We start from the raw sequence: 18325 nt of genomic DNA, 5'->3' as shown, positions 1-18325 counted from the left end.
ACATATTCTTATGCTAGGAACAGTAAATAAAATAGGAATCAGGAGGCATTCTCAAGACTGGAGCTAATCAGAAGTCAATATGGTAGATTTGTATTCATGAAACTTTTTATTTTGAAATAATAATAGATTCACAGGAGAGGTTCCATGTACCCTTCTCCCAGTTTCCTCCAATAGTTACATCTTATGTAACTATAGCACACTCTCAAAACCAGCACACTGCCACTGGTGCAATGTGTGTGTATACTTCTGTGTCATTTTATCACATGCAGATTCCCATAACCATCACTGCAATCAAGACACAGAATGATTCCATCACCCAAAGATCTCCTCATACTACCTCTTTGTGGTCATATCCATTTCCCTTCCTCTTACGATTCCTAATCTCTAGCAAGCACTAATCTGTTTTCCATCTCTTTAATTTTATCATCTCTAGAATGTTATATAAATTGAATCACATGGCATGTGATCTTTTGAGATTAGCTTTTTTTCCCTACTTGGCTTAATGACCTTGAGGTCCACCCAAATTGCTACATGTATTCATAGTCCATTCCTTTTTATTGCTGAGTAGTATTCTGTGGTATGGATGTACTCCAGTTTGTTTAGTCATTCACCTATTATTGTAGGACATTTTGGTTGTTTCCAGTTTGGGCTATTAGGAATAAAGCTGCTATGAACAATTATGCATAGGTTTTTGGGCCTAATGGATATAAGTTTCCACTTCTCTGGAGTAAATTGCTGAGTTGTATAGTTATGTGGTTTTTTTTTTCTTAAAGAAACTGCCAAACTATTTACCAGAGTGGCTGCATGTTTTTGCATTTCTACCAGCATTGTATGAGGAATCCAGTTTTCCTGTATCATCACCAGCATTGGGTATCGTGACTATAGTGTTTTATTTTAGCTGTTCCAATGGGTATGTAGTAATATTTCTTCATGTTCTTAATTTGTATTTCCTTAAAGGCTAGTGATGTTAAACATCTTTTCATGTGCTTATTTGCCATGCATATGTCTTATTTGGTGAAATGTCTCTTGCATGTCTTTTGCGGATTTTCTAACTGAGTTGTTGAATCCTTGCCTTTTTCTCAATCTTAAGGGAAAAGCATTCAGTCTTTCACCATGAAGTGTGATGTCAGCTACTGTTTTTTTTTTTTTGTAGATGTTCTTTATCAACTTCAGAAACTTACCCTCTATTTGTAGGTTTCTGAATTTTTTTTTTTCGTTTAACTACAAACGGGTGTTGAAATGTGTCAAATACTTTTTCTGCATTAGTTGATGTGGTCATGTGATTTTTCTACCTTTAACCTGTTAATATGGTAGATTACACTGATTGATTTTTCAAATGTTGAACCAGCCTTGCATCTTTAGACACAACCCCACTTGGTTATGGTGTAAAAATATTTTTATATATTGCTGAATTCTCCTTGCCAATATTTTGTTAAGGTTTTTGTGTTTGTATGCATGTGAAATATTGATCTTCATTTTTCTTTATTTGTATTGTCTTTGGCTTGGTACCAGAGTAATACTGGCCTCATAATATGAGTTTGGAAATGTTTGTTCTTCTTTTCTGGAAGAGATTAGAGTAGAATTGGTGTTAATTCTTCTTTATATGTTTGGTAGAATTCTCTAGTGAAATCATCTAGGCCTAGATATTTCTTTTTTGGGAGTTTTAAAATTACTAATTCAATCTCCTTAATAGTTATAGGGCTATTCAAGTGATCTGTTTCATATTGGGAAACTTACGGTAGTTTGTGCTTTTCAAGTTTGTGCCCATTTCATTTAATGTGTGAAATGCATGTGTGTAATTTGTAGTATTTCCTTATTATCATGTTGTTAAGTGCAGGATCTGTTTTCCTTAGCCCTTGCCAACTCTAGATAGGTGAAAAATGAGTCTTGGGGTTTCAGTTTTCACATTTTTATATTAATTAGGTGGATCATTAATTTGTATTGTATCTTTTGCTCTTTTCCTCCTGTTTACCGTTTTCTTACTGATTTGTAAGAACTTTTTCTAGGTTATAAATACGAATCCTCCTCCTGTCACATATTCGTAACCTTTCAGGTTGCACTTTTCTCATTATCTTTTACAGTTTTTTGTCACACATACATGCTTTTAATTTTCATGTAGTTATTAATCAATATTTTCCTTTAAGGCCTCTGGGGTTTTATGTTGTATCCATTAGCACTCAATTTCAAGAGATAGAAAACCAAGTCAAGCTAGTTTAAGAAAAAAAGAAAGTAAAGAAAGAATGTTAGCTTATGTAACTGGGCATTGAAGAGATAAATCTCGCTGCATGGATTAAGGATCTGAAAAATACATCATCAGGGTTCTGTTTCTCTTCTCTTGCCACTGCTCAGCTTTTATTTATATCTATCTGGCGATATCATTTTCTCTAAAGCAGATAGTCTCTGTGTGATGATAAAAAGGCTGCTGGGAGTCTCAAGCTTATATTGTAGTAGTTTAAGGTCCAAAAATAAAAGGCTTTCAGAGTCTGTATATTATATCCCATAGAAGGACTCGGAATGACTCTGCTTGGGTGGTATGGTCTCTTCCCTCTTCCCCATACCCTGAATCCGTCCATAAAAATGAGGGCTAGTATGTCGCGATTGATCATTTACCTAGCTCTGTGGCTAGTGGGTAGGTGGAGTACCATCAGAACTCCATGCCATGGACAGCTCCCATGGAAGACTGACAGGGCAAATAGGTGCAAAGAGAGTCCTCTGCGTGTCTTGCTTAGGAGGCCTTTCCCCAGCATAAGATGATTAAACAAAGTTTGTTTCCTTATAATATGTATGATTTCATTATTTTATGTATACATTTTTGATGAGAGAGAGTATATGAATATGGGGTGAGGTAGGGATCTTTTGCTGGATGTGTTTATATTTGAAGAGAAGATGCCCTTGAAACTTATTTGGTTGCCTGCTGCATAATTTGATAATTTTTTCTTTGCTTTTTCTTGAGTCTATTCTGAGTTAACATGAATCCCACAAGGTTAGGATGGTGGGAAGGGCAAGGGCTTCATCTAGCATAAGGGTTTTCACAGTGTCTGTTAACAAATATCTGGTTTAACTCATCTGAGCCCGATACTCATGCCCTTCAGTGGATATCCTGGGCATCAAGATATTGTATAGCAGTGGGAGGTATACAGCGGCACCCAGGAGAACCACGGATATTTCAAATTACCTAAAAATGGGGACAAAGTTAAACCTTGAAATTCCTCCTAGATTCCTACCTGGGTGTGGTAAGGCAGGCTGAGGCTTAGAGGGGGTTAAGGACAAAGGTGTGTAGGAGACTGGCCACCTCACTATGACCTGTGTGCACAATCAGGTCCCTGTGAGGGTCACCAGGCATGGATGCCCAGCAGTGGACAAGGTCTTTCCTAAATGTATTCCCAAGTGTTCAGTGGTATCTTTTTCCCTTAGAGGAATCTTTAAAAATGATTATCTTGTGCTAAAAGCATATTATTTCAGGTTCAACAATTCCTTTAGCTTCACACCTGTTTCCTTTTATTCAGTTAAATTCCAGAAAGAAAATTTAAACATTTTAATTTTAATAGCACGCACAGTTTGATCCCATTTGTATGAAATTATTTCATTGAATATGATTCCATCTATTGATCCCACCATCTCTTTGTATGTCAACTGTCAGGAATAATTATTTCTAGATTGTGTTGGTTTTTTATTTTTTGCTTTCTTTAAAAACTAATAGGCACTTATTTCTATAAAAGCAGTAGACATTCCTTTGAAAGAATAAAGTCTATGATAAGAAGCATGCTCATTCTTCTACTTAGAGTTGGCTCTATTTCCCTTACTATGTGAATAAATATTGTCTACTGGCAATTGTTAGTTGTAAACTCATGGGGAATTATACCCAGAGCCTCACAGGACCTCAGCCAGAAAGAGAGGAGACAGGAAAAGAAATCAGAAAAGGAGAAAAGAGGAAACACAAAGGAAGCAGGCAAGCCTCCAGGTTGGGGATTAGACCATGGCTTTGGCGGAGTCACTTCCTCATGTTTCTGGGGCAGAAGCCTGCTGGTTTTCATCACCTCTGCTGAGAATCACTTTGTCTTTGAACACCCTCTGTGTGCCTAGATCAGCACTGTGTATCCAGCAGGCACTCAATAAATGCTTCGTGGATGTGTAGTTTCCCAAGGGGGTCATTCTCCCTAATCCAATTCTTTGTCTTTCAGGCTCACAGGCTTTCAGCTGCCAGCCACCATTGTTAGTGCAGCCACCACCCTCTCTCTGCGCCTCATCAGCGACTATGCAGTCAGTGCCCAAGGCTTCCACGCCACCTATGAAGGTAAGTGCCTCCCTCATCGGCCACAGGAGCCGGAGATGTGATGTCCTAATAGCCACAAGCAGGACTGCATTGCTCACAGATGCAGGGAAGTGTTCTTCAGACCCAGAGCTTGCGCCTGTCCTGACAAGGCTGGTTACTAACCAGTAACTCAGTTACTTAAATTGTCCCTCTTGGTTCCCAGGAAACTGAGAATTGAAATCAAAGCTCATGTGCAGTAGTTTATCCTGAGGGCCTGGTAACATCTACTTCTCTGTCCCCTTTAACTGGGTTTTGTTGTGTTTTTATTTTTTTAATTCTGTTTTATATTGGGCTTCATTGTATAAGGTACCTCAGGTTGTTTTTGAAAATAAAAGACATATAAACCCTAAGTAAAAGAAATAAAATAAGCAACTGAAAACACCATACAATGACTGCCAAGAGTCAGTTTTATATCATTCAGAGAAGAACAATCGATTTTTCCTTAATAGCATGGATTAGGGGCTTTTGGTTTGTGCTATGCAAATAATTTGTACTTCTCTCAGTCTGTTTAAATATGGTGTTAGAATTCAAATTAACACTAATATCTTCAGATTATACACTATTATTATTATTAACTTTATTATGTTCAGAAGGTGGTACTTCTAGATCTCTGTCATTTCCCTGGGAAATTTACATCTCATTAATAGGTAATTATGCCACTCTTGGCTAAGACCTGCACTGTTATTTTGTGTTAAGATCATTAATAGGCATATTTTAAGACTGTTAATGATAATTAATAACAGTAATGACATAATACCCTAGTAAAGCACGCCAGATATCCAAAAGCTTTTTTTTTTTTTTTTTTTTTTTGCCTTTGCCTTTGTTTAAGAACTTAAAGAGTAAGCGATGCTTTCTTCAATGAAGAAGCTATAGCAATACAGAAACAGACACTCCCTGTCTTGGCCAGGGGTGTAATGCATAAAGAGGACAAGTTCTGCCTCCTTAGCAAAAAACCACCCCTGGTGGCAGGGGGTATAGGGGAGATGGTTTGATGCTTTAACCTGAGCAACTGGGGGCTCCTGGGAAGGCTTCAGTTATTTTTAACTAAAGGTTGCTGAGAAGGCTCCTGAGAAAGTTCCACCTGTCTTTTGCTGAGGGCTTCTGACATAACTCTATTTTACCTTAACTGAGGGCTCCTGACAAAGACTGACCTGTCCTTAAAGTGAGGATTCCTGAAATAGCCTAATTTCTTTTTAAAAAATGATCAGATCTCAGCCGGGTGTGGTGGCTAACACTTGTAATCCCAGCACTTTGGGAGGACGAGGCGAGTGAATCACTTGAGGCCAGGAGTTTGAGACCATCCTGGGCAACAGGACAAAATCCCGTCTCTACTGAAAATACAAAAATTAGCCGGGCATGGTGTTACACACCTGTAATCCCAGCTACTTGGGAGGCTGAGGCACAAAAACTGCTTGAACCTGGGAGATGGCACTGCACTCCAGCCTGGGTGACAGAATGAGACTCTGTCTCAAAAAAAAAAAAAAAAGTTCCTACCAATATCAAGCCTGTGATTTTTGTCATCCTATTTATTCCTTCAACCTGGCCCTGAATCCAAAGTAATTCTCTCCAAGTTTGAGCAACAAGCTCCTCACTAGGAGAAGCCTCTTCAGAAGCTTCCTAAAGTCTGTCTGGCCATTAGCTCCTTCCACAATAGGTTGGCCTTGGGGACATTGACTGCACTTGGGACCCGGGGCCAGGAAAAGGGAGACTGGGTCAGGGACACTAGAAGAGGTGCCAGCAAAGATGCTGGGAGTGACTGACACATGGGGGAACTGGCCGGGCCCTAGGCTCTCATGGTGCCCTCATTTCTCAGTCCTGGTCGATCTTTGAGGCCCTGGCTTCCCTGAGGCTTGAGGAAAAAGGTGTCCCTGCCCACACTGCCCTGTTAGGGGCACAAGCACTTCTCATTAAGCAGAGCAGATCTGAGGGCACATTCAGAGTCCCGTGAAAACAGACACTGTCACCTGGAAATCATGAGCAGGGTCTGTAGTTGGGCAACAGGAGGTCTGTAAACTCCATGACATTAGAGACAAAAATTCTGAGGGTGGGTATATCTTTTTCTAGGGAGAATATACAGCAGGCATTAGAGAACTCAGATCCCCCTGGCCAAATCTAGCCAGAAGGTTGTTTTTGTAAATAAAGTTTTATTGGAACACAGCCATGCCCATTCGTTGACATGTGTTTGGTGGCTGTCTTCATGCACTACAACTGCAGAGTTGAGCTATTGTGACAGAGACCCTATGCAAAGCCAATGAGATACTTACTTTTTGACCCTTTACAGAAAAAATTTACTTACCCCTGGTCTGCAGCTGTATTGTCCAATACAGTAGCCATCAGCCACATATGGCTATTTACATTTAAATTAACTAAAATTGAATAGAATTTAAAATTCAGTTTCTTAGTCACACTAGCCTTGTGTCAAATGTTCAGCAACCACATGTGGCTTGTCTGCCATGTAGAACAGCCCAGATACAGAATATTTCCATCATTGCAGAAAATTTTACTGGACAGAGCTGAGCTGGAGCTTTCATCGGATTCACAAAGAGGCCGGTGATTCAAAAGAGATTGCAAAACATTAGGGATAAATTAGAGGCCAGTGGATCCCTCCTCCCACCTGCCTGGCACAGGTGAGGCAGTCCAGGCATGAGAATGCTCAACATTCCACAGCAAGACTCACAGGGCAGAAGGAACAGCCTATTTCACCTCAGCCACATAATGATGTCAGGTGTCTAAGTCATTGGCACTAAGGAAATAAAGCCTTGTAGGCAAGGCCCCTGCAAAGGCTAGACCAATGCTAACAGATTGCTGTAGCCGAGCGAGTCTCTATGCAGTCACCTGTTGCAGGGTTTCTGCAAACTACGCAGGATGTGTGGCTGGCTGTTTTGTACTGCATGGTAAAGTGGGTCACAGGTGTCTGTGCTAACAAAGGAGTCAGACACCCATAAGCCAAGGCTGTGGCTATCACTGAAGCTCATTAATTTGATTTGGGACTGGGCTATGTGGCAATTCATGCATCTGGACAAATGTGAGTTGCACTTACTTTTGGAACACCCACAGTGGATGGACAAGGATGGAAGGTGGGAGGCATGAGTAGGGTCAGCCACAGCTGTGAGCATACCTACCTGATATATGCCCTGGGATGTCTATCGTTGAGCTTATTCAACAGGCAACTGAATCGGGTTGAACCTGTACCTGACTCACTGGGTGACCTTGGGCAGATTTTTAAGCTCTCTGAGCCTCATTGTGGGGTGGAGGAGGGGAGATTCACTAGTCAAAAGGAATTTATGAAGATTTGGCTCTCAGGGAAGGAGCTCAGCCCCCTTCCTCCATTGCAGAGTCCCCTTGGACATTTGTGCTGGGTGGCAAGCAGGGAGAATGACAGACAGGCTTCAAAGAAGAGGCCCCCACTTCCAGCCTAGGCTGCCCCCAGTCAGGATGGTTTCCTTATATTCGCTATTCATGATGTTGTTGTGTCCGTTTCAAAATGGCATCAGGGCCCTGCTCTTGGTAGCTCCTCTTGGCTGACATCCCCAAATGTCTGCTATCAAAGCGAGTTTGATCCTCCTCCACCCTCATCCAGAATGTGAAAAGTATAGATAAGGAACTGAACTGCTGCTAGGGATTTTGGAGAAAGGTGAAGTCAGGTGATGAGTGTCAGCCCACGGCTGCTGCCGCCGCAAGGAAAAGATCAAAAAGGCCGGTAGTCAAACCCTGAGATGACAGAAGGTGCTTGGTTTGTAATCCCCGGGGGCAAGAGCGTGGGCCGCAGCAGCTGGACGGGAGGGAAGGGGATCAACCTGTATTAAGCACCGACTGTATGCCAGGCACTTTACATACATTATCTCATTTAATCCCCCACCACAACCCTGTGGACAGACATTGCTATCCATCTTACAGAAGTACATGCTGAGCCTCAGGGAAGTTTTGTGTGCAGCTTAGGGCCTGATGGCCAGGAATTTTAACGTGGCTTTTCTGCAAAACTCTTTGAGTAAGGCAGAGGCTAGTGACTCCATTTCACAGGCAGGTAAACTGGAGATAAGCCAGAGGCAGGGGAGGATGTGGGAACTTCCAGGCTGGTGTGGGTCATCCATGGAGGCAACAAGAGATGTGTTCCTGAGCTTCTCAGCTAGGGTCACCAGATAAAATACAGGGCACTCAGTTAATCTGAATTTTAAATTATTCAAATTTTTGAAGTGGGAATAATGTTTAGTGTAAGTATACCCCAAATATACTTATTTTATTTTATTTATTTAGTTTTTTGAGATAGGGCCTCACTTTTTCCTCCAGGCTTCAGTCCAGTGGCACGATCTCAGCTCACTGCAGCCTCGACCTCCTGGGTTCAGCCTCCTGCCTCAGCCCCTGAAGTAGCTGGGACCGCAGACACGCGCCACCACAGCCGGCTAATTTCTTTGTATTTTTGGTAAAGATAGGGTTTCACCATGTTTCCCAGGCTGGTCTCGAATTCCAGAGCTGGAGCGATCTGCCTGCCTCGACCTCCCAAAGTGCTAGGATTACAAGCATGAGCCACCACACTGGGCCTGAAATTTAAATATAACTGAGCATCCTGCATTTTCAGTTGCTAGAACTGACAATCCCATTTTCAGCAAAGAGTCTGAAAATAGGCCCCAGGAGCCCTCGCCCCACTTACCTCCTCCTCCTCCTCCTGACTCCCATGTCTGCCCATGTCCTGCTCTGCCCATGTAGGGCTGTCTGCCCATGTAGGGCTGTCTGCCCAGGTCTAGCCTCAGTTCTGCCATTCCAATGAATATACATTTAGACATCTATCTGCTCACACACATATGCACACAGGTGTGGATCCGTGTGCACTTGGGATTATGCTATCTGTGCAATTCTGTAATCTGGTTAATGAAGCCAACGTTTTTCTGTGTTAATAAAAGTAGCCCTGATTTGTCTTTCTAATGAACATCACTGAGGAAGCCATTGTGGTTTGCATATACCATAGTTATCTAACCAGTCATCTTCTGTGGACATTTAGGTGAAGAACATCCTTGTACATACAATTTAAGCCCTCATCTAATTATCTTCTTAGAATAAATTCTTGGAAGTGCAATTGCTGGGTCAAAGAGTATGTAGATTTTCCATTTTATACATAATTCCATCGTGTCTTCAGAAAGGTTATACGAACGCACACTTCTACCAACAGTACACAAGCAGGCCTGAGCCCATTCCTCCCACCTTGCCAGTGTTACAAGTCAGTTTCATGGATTAAAATGGGTGGAAAATGACATCCCATTTGTTGCGATAATTGGCATCTCTTTGATTGTAGGTAAGGTGAAGCACCTGTCATCACTTACTGGCCATGTACTGATAATTGTATAAATCCTCTCTCTTGGTCTCTGCCTACTCTTCCATGGGGGTGTTAGAATTTTTCTTATCTTCTTTGTAAGTGCTTTTTGCATATTAAGGATATTAATGTAATGGGTTTCCTTTAGAGGTACAGCAGTTTTCATTTTTATGCCACTCATTTTACATTTTAATTTTTTAATTTTTCCTTTATGCTATCTATTTTTGGTGCCATGCTTGGAGAGGCTTCTTCTGTGTGAAGATTAGATAAATGTTCATTTAAAGGCTCACCTTATTCTTTTAGTTTTATTTTACTGTTTATTTTTAAATCCTCCTGGAACCCAGATGTGTTGATCTTGGTTTCTGTGTCTCCCTTTCTGTCTTTGGCTCTCTGATGCTTGCCATGTGTCACTCCGAGTTCATGGAAGCCTGCATCTTCCCCACTCTACCCCCAGTGTGTCTCTATCTGATGTTTCCAGTCTTCCTGCCATTTGGTCATTTTTTTCTCACCCTAGCCCCAGACTTCCCACCTTCCCCACACACAACTCCCAACTGTTGCATGAGATTGTTTCCGATTATTCCAGACTGATCGCCAGGTAAGCGAGCGTGATGGGCAGATCAGAAATGCCAATGAGGGAAGAGTCTCTGCAGGTTTTTAGTGCTTAATCCTGGTTGCACCTCTGCATTTTAGCAGCATGGATCTCGTGCACTCTGACACTTTTGTGAAGGAGAGCCCATCTCTGAGTGTCGGGTCTCAGTCTGTTAGATCTACTTAATACTCTAGCTCTCAAAACAGGTATTTCTTTGTTTAGCTAAGTCTAACTGTGATCTGGACATCTCACTATCAAACTATAGGCTTCCTTAAAAATCAGACCTGTTCTATTCCACTAATGATCTCTATGAAGAATCTTAGAAGGATGAGGTACCCTTATTTTCCCTTATTTTTTGTGGACTCCTTGGTAACCATAAGGGGAAAGGTGGCATAGTACAAGAATTAAGATCTCAGGTTCTGAATTCAGACACCTGGAATCAAATCCTATCTTGCCACTCACTTGCTGGTTGACCTTGGACAAGTTATGTCATTTCATTGAGCTCCAGCCTCTGTGCCTATAAAATCAGGATAAGAATAATACTTCTTAGAGCTGTTGTGAGGATTAAGGAAGAGAATGCACAAGTCACAAGATGTGCTCAGTATGGGACCTGGCAAATTGTCAGCGCTTGATAAATGTCAGCTAATTAATTAAGTCACTCTCATCCTAACCTTACTTGACTGGGATTATTTCAGGGGATGGAAGGAATATGTCAACTTCATAGTTCACAATCCCAGCCCCACCCCAGTACCCTGGCTCCAGAGTTTGCATAAAATCCTTAATCCAGCTGTTCGTGGTGTGTCTAGCTTTACAGCCAGACGGTGGCTTTTGGAGGGAAGAAGCAGAGTGTTCTTCATATTCATGAGCCTCTGGCACTGCTTGAGCCTGTGTCCATTGGATAGGGATGAAGTCTCAGGTTTTGTCACTTGGTGGATGGGAGCTAATGAGGCCAAACCAGGAACTTAGTCTGTTCATGGCCTCTTCTCTTTGTATCAGAGATGTTGGCTTTAGAGCTAAGGGTCCTAGTAAGAAGTCAAATAGGCCCTAGGCTTTTGAGGTCATGGATTTGAAAACTGTGACACACACACATACATGCATGTACACGTACTCACACAAATACAACTCTTCCATAAGATTCACAGGGAGTTTACAGATGCCCTGTGGCCACCCCGATCCCCTAGTTCACCTAAAAAAACAGCCCAGAGAGGTTGACCTCACACATTAAGTTGATGGTAGAGATTTCTTCGTTCATTGAGCTAATATTTACTGGGCACATATTGTGTGCAGTCCTTGACTTTCATCCAAGCTTCATTTTCATTGTCACGATTTGTGCTCTCTCCCTAGTCTATCTCCCCTCCCAAAGGGGAGCAGGGAGAAAGAAGACATGCTCCACTTAGTGTCACTTCTGGAAAAAAAAAGACAAAACCCTGGTATGCTTTTGCTACCAATGGAAGATCGGTAATATCATCTCTGTATAAGGACCACAGCGTGTTGCAACAGGGTAGACAGACTCATCTGTGAGGGATGGACAGATGGAGCCAGAGCTGCCCGTTTTGCTGTTCCAGGAGACGCAGGTTAGGAGCAAGCCTCAGAACACAGTGTGCTTCTGTGATGTTTGGAGGTGGGAGTAGGGTTGGAGGTGATCATGCCACTGTGCACGCAGATAAATTGGGGTCCAGAGATGGAATTGGAAGCAAGTACATGGGAGAAATGGGCCTTTCCTGGTTTTGTTTTTTCCTGTAATTAGACCTGCTGATTCTCTCTCTCGGCCTCAGCCTCTCAGACAATTTCCTCATTCCAAAAGAGTTCCCCAATTCTGGGACATGATGCAGACATCTCAAAATTGGGCTAATGGAAGCCATTTGATCACATATATATAGATAGACATACACTGAATATGCAATTTGCAGCATTTAAGCCACTCCAGGCCAGAACAGCAGAACAGCAGGCCAATGCCCTCCTCCAGGGAGGGAGGTGATAGATGTCCATTTCCTCCGCTCAGGAGGGATGGTGTGTGCTTCCTGAGTGAACCTGTTCCATTTCCGATGGCTCTGCCTTGGGAGTTGGAGAACATTCATTTTAATCAGTACTGTGGAGTAGCAAATTAATACATAGAGACGTGACATTTGAGACAAATTGGGCAGCACTTCTCAATAAGTGGAGAATCAGGATGATTTTCATATCACGTCCTCAATAATCCCACAAATAGTTCATCATGCATAGTAATATTTTACCCCTTTGGGGAAGAGTATTAACATAGCTTTAAGATGATATTATGCCAAACTCTAGTGCCATGACCGTCTTCCTGTCAGGGTGTCAGGAGAAACAGTGATGAGGAGGAAGGAGCATTCTCACGCAGCTGCCTGCTTGCAGATACAGTGTACCTCTGCTTCACTTCTCTGTCCCCATTCATTCATTCTTCATTCATTCAACAAATATTTACTGAACACCTGCTATATATCAGTCCCAAAGTAGGCTTTGAGGATACAAGAAAGAATAAGAAGTGGCCCCTACATTCAAGGAGCTCTGAAACCTAAAAATGTTGGGAGAGAAGTAAGGGCATAAGCCCAGGAGACAGGAGATGTGGATCCAAACCCTAGCTTTCCCTCAGGCTGGCTGTGAGACCTTGGGCAAGTCTCCCAACCTCCCTGAAATGATTTTTTTGCAAAACAGAAACTATAATGCCCACTTTAATAGGTTGTAATGAGGATTAAAGAGTCAGTGCGTGACAAGTGCCTGGCACAGAGATGCTATTCAAAAACAACCAATTCGTCTACCACGTGGAGAAAATTGCTCTCATGCCCGGTTAGGTTTCTGGAGATCAAGTTTGAGCTCTGCCATATCCCCAGTGTATGCCCTTAGATAAGGAACTACACCTCTCAGACTCCTCCTATGAAAAATGGGGTAATTTTCTCTCCATTTCAAGAGGACTGTGAGCATGAATGACAAGGTCTAGAAAGAATCTAGGGTGACATTTGGCACATAGTAGGCACTCAGTAAAAGGAAGCTAATATAACAAGGCATGGTGGGTTTTATGGGAGTGAAAAAAACCCAATTCTTTCCCCTGACAAAACCTTTGGTCAAATCTTGTGGCTCTCCGAGGGCAAGAACTATCACTTACTTTTTTGTTTTCTCTGCCACCATGATACCTTAGTCTAGGGCCTGCCACACAGTAGGAGTCCTGCAATGGTAGCTATTGCTTGCATCTCCTGACCTGGATCCCTACTAGTCTATATAAGGCTTTTGTACAACACAAAAGTGGCTACTCTGAGAAGACCCTGTCCTGTGAGCATATGGCTCAGTGGATAGCGTATAGGCTGGGTTCTAATCCTTATCACCCCTCTGCCTGGGCATACTTTCGCAGTACTCAACTTGAACAACTTGAAGGTTTTGGAGCTTTACTTCAGAACCGTCCTCTTGGGAGTCTGTGGTCATTCACTATCCAACAAAAGATTCAGAGATTCATTGGATGCTTGGGAGCAAAGATCTCAGAGAGCTTTCACTTGAAACCCTTTAATTGGGTTAAAGGGTTTAGCCCTTTAAATCCTTCGAGTGTGGTGGCTTACACCTGTAATCCTAGTACTTTGGGAGGCCAAGGCCAGAGGATCATTTGAGGACAGGAGTTTGAGACCAGCCTGGGTAACATAGCAAAACTCCATCTCTACAAAATATTAAAAAGAAAATTAGCTAGGCATGGTGGTATGTACCCGTAGCCCTACCTGTTCAGGAGGCTCAGGCAGGAGGATCACTAGAGCCCAGGGGGTTGAGGCTGGAGTGAGCTGTGATTGCGCCACTGCACTCCAGCCTGGGCAACAGAACAAGATTCTGTCTCAAACAAACAAACCAAACCAACAACAACAATGGAAATCCCCAACCATTTAATTGCTTCCAGGATGGAGTCCAGACTCCTTACCTGGCCATCAAAACCTCCGGCATGAGCCCTACCTCCATCCCCTTCCAGTTCTCAGATGCACCATACTCTGTCTTCCCACTTGTCTTTCAAACACACTGAGTCCCCTCTCCTGAACCACCTCACCACTACCACCCAACTCTTCTCTTCTGTTCTCTGCCTAAACTAAATCCAAGAGGCTGCCCCTGTGTACAACAGCCCTATTCTATTACCTCTTGGCTCCCTGCACTTCTCCTTCTATCATGTGCATCACTCGTGTATTTTCTGTTCCTTGTTTACCTTCTCTACTCTTGTGTGTGCTTCTGGACAGGAAGAACGCTCAATAGAGCACTGAAGTCAGAGCTCAGGGTCTAAAGGAAGACTTGACTCCCAACTCGTCCAGATAGTAGCCAGCATGTGACTTTGAGCAAGTCACTTAACCTCCTCTGACCCCTTATCATAGGAGGACAATAAGAATAATAAACCCTACTCCATGGGATTGTTGTAGGGAAGAAATGGGGTAACACATCAAGTGCTCCTAATAATGCCTGGCATAGAATAAACACTCACTAAGTGGATGTGTAAGCTATTAGGATCACTCTTCACAGTTGTGCCTAGCCCAGGGTCAGACACATAGTAGGTGCTCAATAAATACCGATTAAACAAGTGAATGGATAAATGATCGTCTTGCCCCATGTGAAAGGCCCAGGCAAGAAAAGAGATTTAGGCTCAAGGTACCTGATACCATATTTCTTTGACTCTAAGATGCCCCCAGTCGTAAGATCCAGCTTTAGTTGATGTACCATTAAGAAAGAAAAAAATGCTGCCAATTAAAGTGTGACATGCCATTGACTATAAGACACATCCTAATTTCAGAGATATTAAAATATGGAAAAGCTTGCACCCTAGAACCGATGAAATATGGTAACTGCTTAATTGCTCCTAACCACCCCTTAGCCTCAGTTGAGGTGTACTTATCATTCCAACCTGTTCTCTGACCCAGAGCTCTCTGATGGTCAGGATTCCTCCTTTTCAGCATTCAGGTGGGGACTCTTTACCATGTGATCACCTGTTAATTTATTCTCTTGGCTCCAAGTCTCATTACTTCTCAATTTTCTGCATTGAACTCTATTTAACACTTATTAGCACAGGTCTTTAGCTGATAAACACCCTTTTCACGGGAAGCAGCAGGGTGCCCCAGGCTTGACCCTGCCTCCCATAACCGTGCTCAAGGCAGGGGGGCCCAGAGACCCCCAAACATGGCTAGCTCAGGACCACTGCCAGCCCACTCCCAGCCCCTCCCAGGATGGATCCCTTGGTACCGAAGAACCACTGGGTGGGGACCTGGATGTGATTTCTCCCGTGTGGATAGAAGGGGAGAGGGTTGTCCTTCAACTGCTGCTCTGGTAGGGACCGTAGCTGGACATGCATATCTGTCTCCTTCCTGTGCCCTTGGGTCAGGTGACCCTGTTGGAGCTTCCTCCACTGACCCCAGCCCTAGAGGTTTAGGGGATGCATGCCTTTCTGCCACCTCTTCCTTGGGGTGACTTATTTCCCAACCCATGAGCCCAGCATCAGTGGGGAGAGAACACTTCCAAACAGAAGTGTCAAATTGAATATTTCAGTCCCACCTCTTGCCATTAATGAATAACTCAGGAGTGATTAACCACTGTTTTGGATTATTCTTTCTACCTTTTCCTTCATTAATGTGAATAACTGAGAGTTGAACCCACTGATATTTCATTTTAACAGCAGGAGAGAAAAGCACTTACCGCATTAGGTAGGAGATTCTGATTTGGAGATTTGGCGGTGGACAGATGGCATCCCTGTCCTTCCCCTGTGGATGCCGTTACATGATAGGAGTTGTTTCACAGTCCTTTATCCTCATACAAGCTGCAGGGTCCATAGCCCAGGGCCTCTGAGATGAAGACAACAAAGGAACTGGCACTTGTCGAGCACCTTCGACATGCTCAGCAATGCAGGGGTGGGGGCTTTATAGACAACAACCGACACATAACCACCTCGTGAGCAAGGCCTTAGGATCCCCATTTTACAGATAAGGAAGTTGAGGCCTAGAGAGGTGAGTTACCTTGCCTGAGGTGAACCAGGACCTAAAGGTCATGCACAATTTAAAAATCAGTCTGGTTCCAAAGCCCACACTCTCCACCGTGTTCCTGCTGAAAATAAGCCCTGCACAGTTCTCCAGGCCTGCCCCACTCGCCTACCCCTACCCCACAGCAGGAGAGGCCTGGGAGAGTCGGGTGGGCCAGCAGCATGACGCTGGGGCATCTCCTTGAGCCTGTGGTCCCCAGCCCTGGCCTTGCTCAGGGCGTTGTTGCTGCCTGAGACCCGTCTCATGGACAGTGGCTTTGCTTCCCAGCTCTGTCATCCTTCCTTCCAGCTCTCCGCTTCCTGTTATCCCTCAAGACCTTTATCCAGCTATATTTGCAGAGTAAACAGACTGGGCTTGGTAATGAATTACTTGACCAGGAGCTAATCTTGGGAAGTGGAGGGGACAGGGCAGGTGAAACACATTTGAGCCTCAGGGCCTCCATACATTCTGTTCCCCTTGCCTGTACCCAGTGGCCCCAAAGCCCTCTCCCTGGTTCCATTCAGCTCTGTGCTCATGTGTCTTCTTATTGAGAAGCCTTTTCTGACCACACTGTATATAACACAGCACCTGTTACCCATCACTCCCTAGCACCTCCTGACATATGCTATGACTGTTTATTTATTTGCTTATTGTCCTTCTCTGCAAGAATGTGAGCTTCCTGGGGTCAGGAGCTTTGTGTTGTTTTGCATTACTATTGTTCTGTGCTGATTCCTCAGCTCCTAGGACAGGTCCTGTCACATGTTAGGTACTCAGTAAATATTTGGTGAATGAATGGAATCAAAGACCAGAAGAAAGAGCAAAGGCATTTGAGCAACTGCAAGAAGGGCAGTTGTGGAGTATGAGGGCAGGGGTGTGGCCGGAGCTGAACTGGCTTGAGGGACAGGGAATAGCTCATGTAGGACCTAGGAGGCCACAGGAAGGAGTTCGGGCCTTACTCACAAGAAGGGGACCATCGCTGAAGGGTCTTAGGCAGGGAAGTGGCTCCGTGAGATTTATGCTTTAGAGACATTGGGGAGAGCAGGGGCAGACTGCGGGGAAGGAAACCAGTCACAGGAGGCAAAGCAGGGACCACTGTCGAGCATAGAATGTTTCTGAACCTTCACCAGCACTGAGGATGGTGCCAGGACAAGGGGAGACCAAGCCCAGGGCTCACTCCCTACATTGCCTTTATGGATGGACATTTACACTGCTGGAATAGAAGGAATGCCCTCTACGTGGAGCAGCTTAGCCTTCACAATTGCTTACACAGTTGTTTGTGATATTTCTGTCTGTTCTGCTGACATTCAGATGTGACTGTAACTGATTGAACAAGCTCACCTGAAGAGTCTTGCTGAATAGATGAATGTTCAAGTGCTGGGGTCTCCAGTTGTGAGTGATGTGGGTGGAGCCCTAGAGATCATACTGGGAAATTATGCAGAGGAGTCAGGGCAGGGAGACATAGCAAATGCATTGGGTGATGATGATCGTCAGGATGATAATGAAAGCTAGCATTGCTGGGGCTCTTACCAGGTGCCAGGCACTCTTCTAAGTGCCTTACATTTTAACATTTAATTCTCAAGCAGTCCTTTGAGGTAGGCCCTATTATTATCTCCATTTTACAGATGAGGCACTGAAAGTTAAGTAACTTGCTTGAGGTCACACAGCTAGTAAGAGGTAAAGTGTGGGTTTGAATCCAGACAGTTTGACTTCAGTCTACAAAAAGGAATAAAATAATTTCACATAGTTGCGACTATTGGATCCAAATTAAATATTCCACTATAATAGGGAGCAGTGTCAAGCTTTGTACTTTAAAAAATCTAACAAAAGGAAAAGATTAGTGATCAGACTATATTCAAATGTAAAAGTTCTGCACAATAAAAATCATGTAAAATGGGAAGAGAAACAACTGACTTGAATAATATTCTACCAAATGTGGCAACAAAGGGTTAACCTCTGCATTGTATAATGAACCCATACAAAGTGGTAAGAAAGGTATCAAGGAGTTCACACCAGAGGAAATAGAGTCAGCAAATAAATACATAGCAGCACTACCTGGTCCTGATAGTTATCAGTGTAATGTCAATTAAGACAATGAAATGGCACTTTATCCCTATTAAATTAGGCTGAAGAACTTCGGT

At 43.4% G+C, this 18325-nt stretch overlaps 1 protein-coding gene across 12 annotated transcripts in view, besides 1 other annotated feature; it reads left to right on the top strand.

The window, feature by feature from the left end:
• CSMD2 (CUB and Sushi multiple domains 2) overlaps window positions 1-18325 on the top strand; it is a 651845-nt gene that overhangs the window by 128955 nt on the left and 504565 nt on the right. For all 12 annotated transcript variants that reach the window (XM_047443685.1, XM_047443656.1, NM_052896.5 and 9 more), the window contains exon 3: window positions 4182-4294. In XM_047443685.1, coding sequence (XP_047299641.1) covers window positions 4182-4294 — 113 coding nt within the window. The remainder of the gene's footprint in view (window positions 1-4181; window positions 4295-18325) is intronic.
• Window positions 16775-17593: an enhancer, noted in NCBI's record as "OCT4-NANOG-H3K4me1 hESC enhancer chr1:34484896-34485714 (GRCh37/hg19 assembly coordinates)". NCBI's record gives its function as "activates a minimal SCP1, AML or CMV promoter by ChIP-STARR-seq in naive and primed H9 embryonic stem cells {active_cell/tissue: H9 hESC(naive and primed)}" and the evidence as "EXISTENCE:reporter gene assay evidence [ECO:0000049][PMID:30033119]".

This window comes from Homo sapiens, chromosome 1, assembly GCF_000001405.40.
Source record: "Homo sapiens chromosome 1, GRCh38.p14 Primary Assembly".
In the NCBI taxonomy this organism is placed as follows: Eukaryota; Metazoa; Chordata; class Mammalia; order Primates; family Hominidae; genus Homo; species Homo sapiens.
This window is presented reverse-complemented; position numbering and strand designations above follow the sequence as displayed.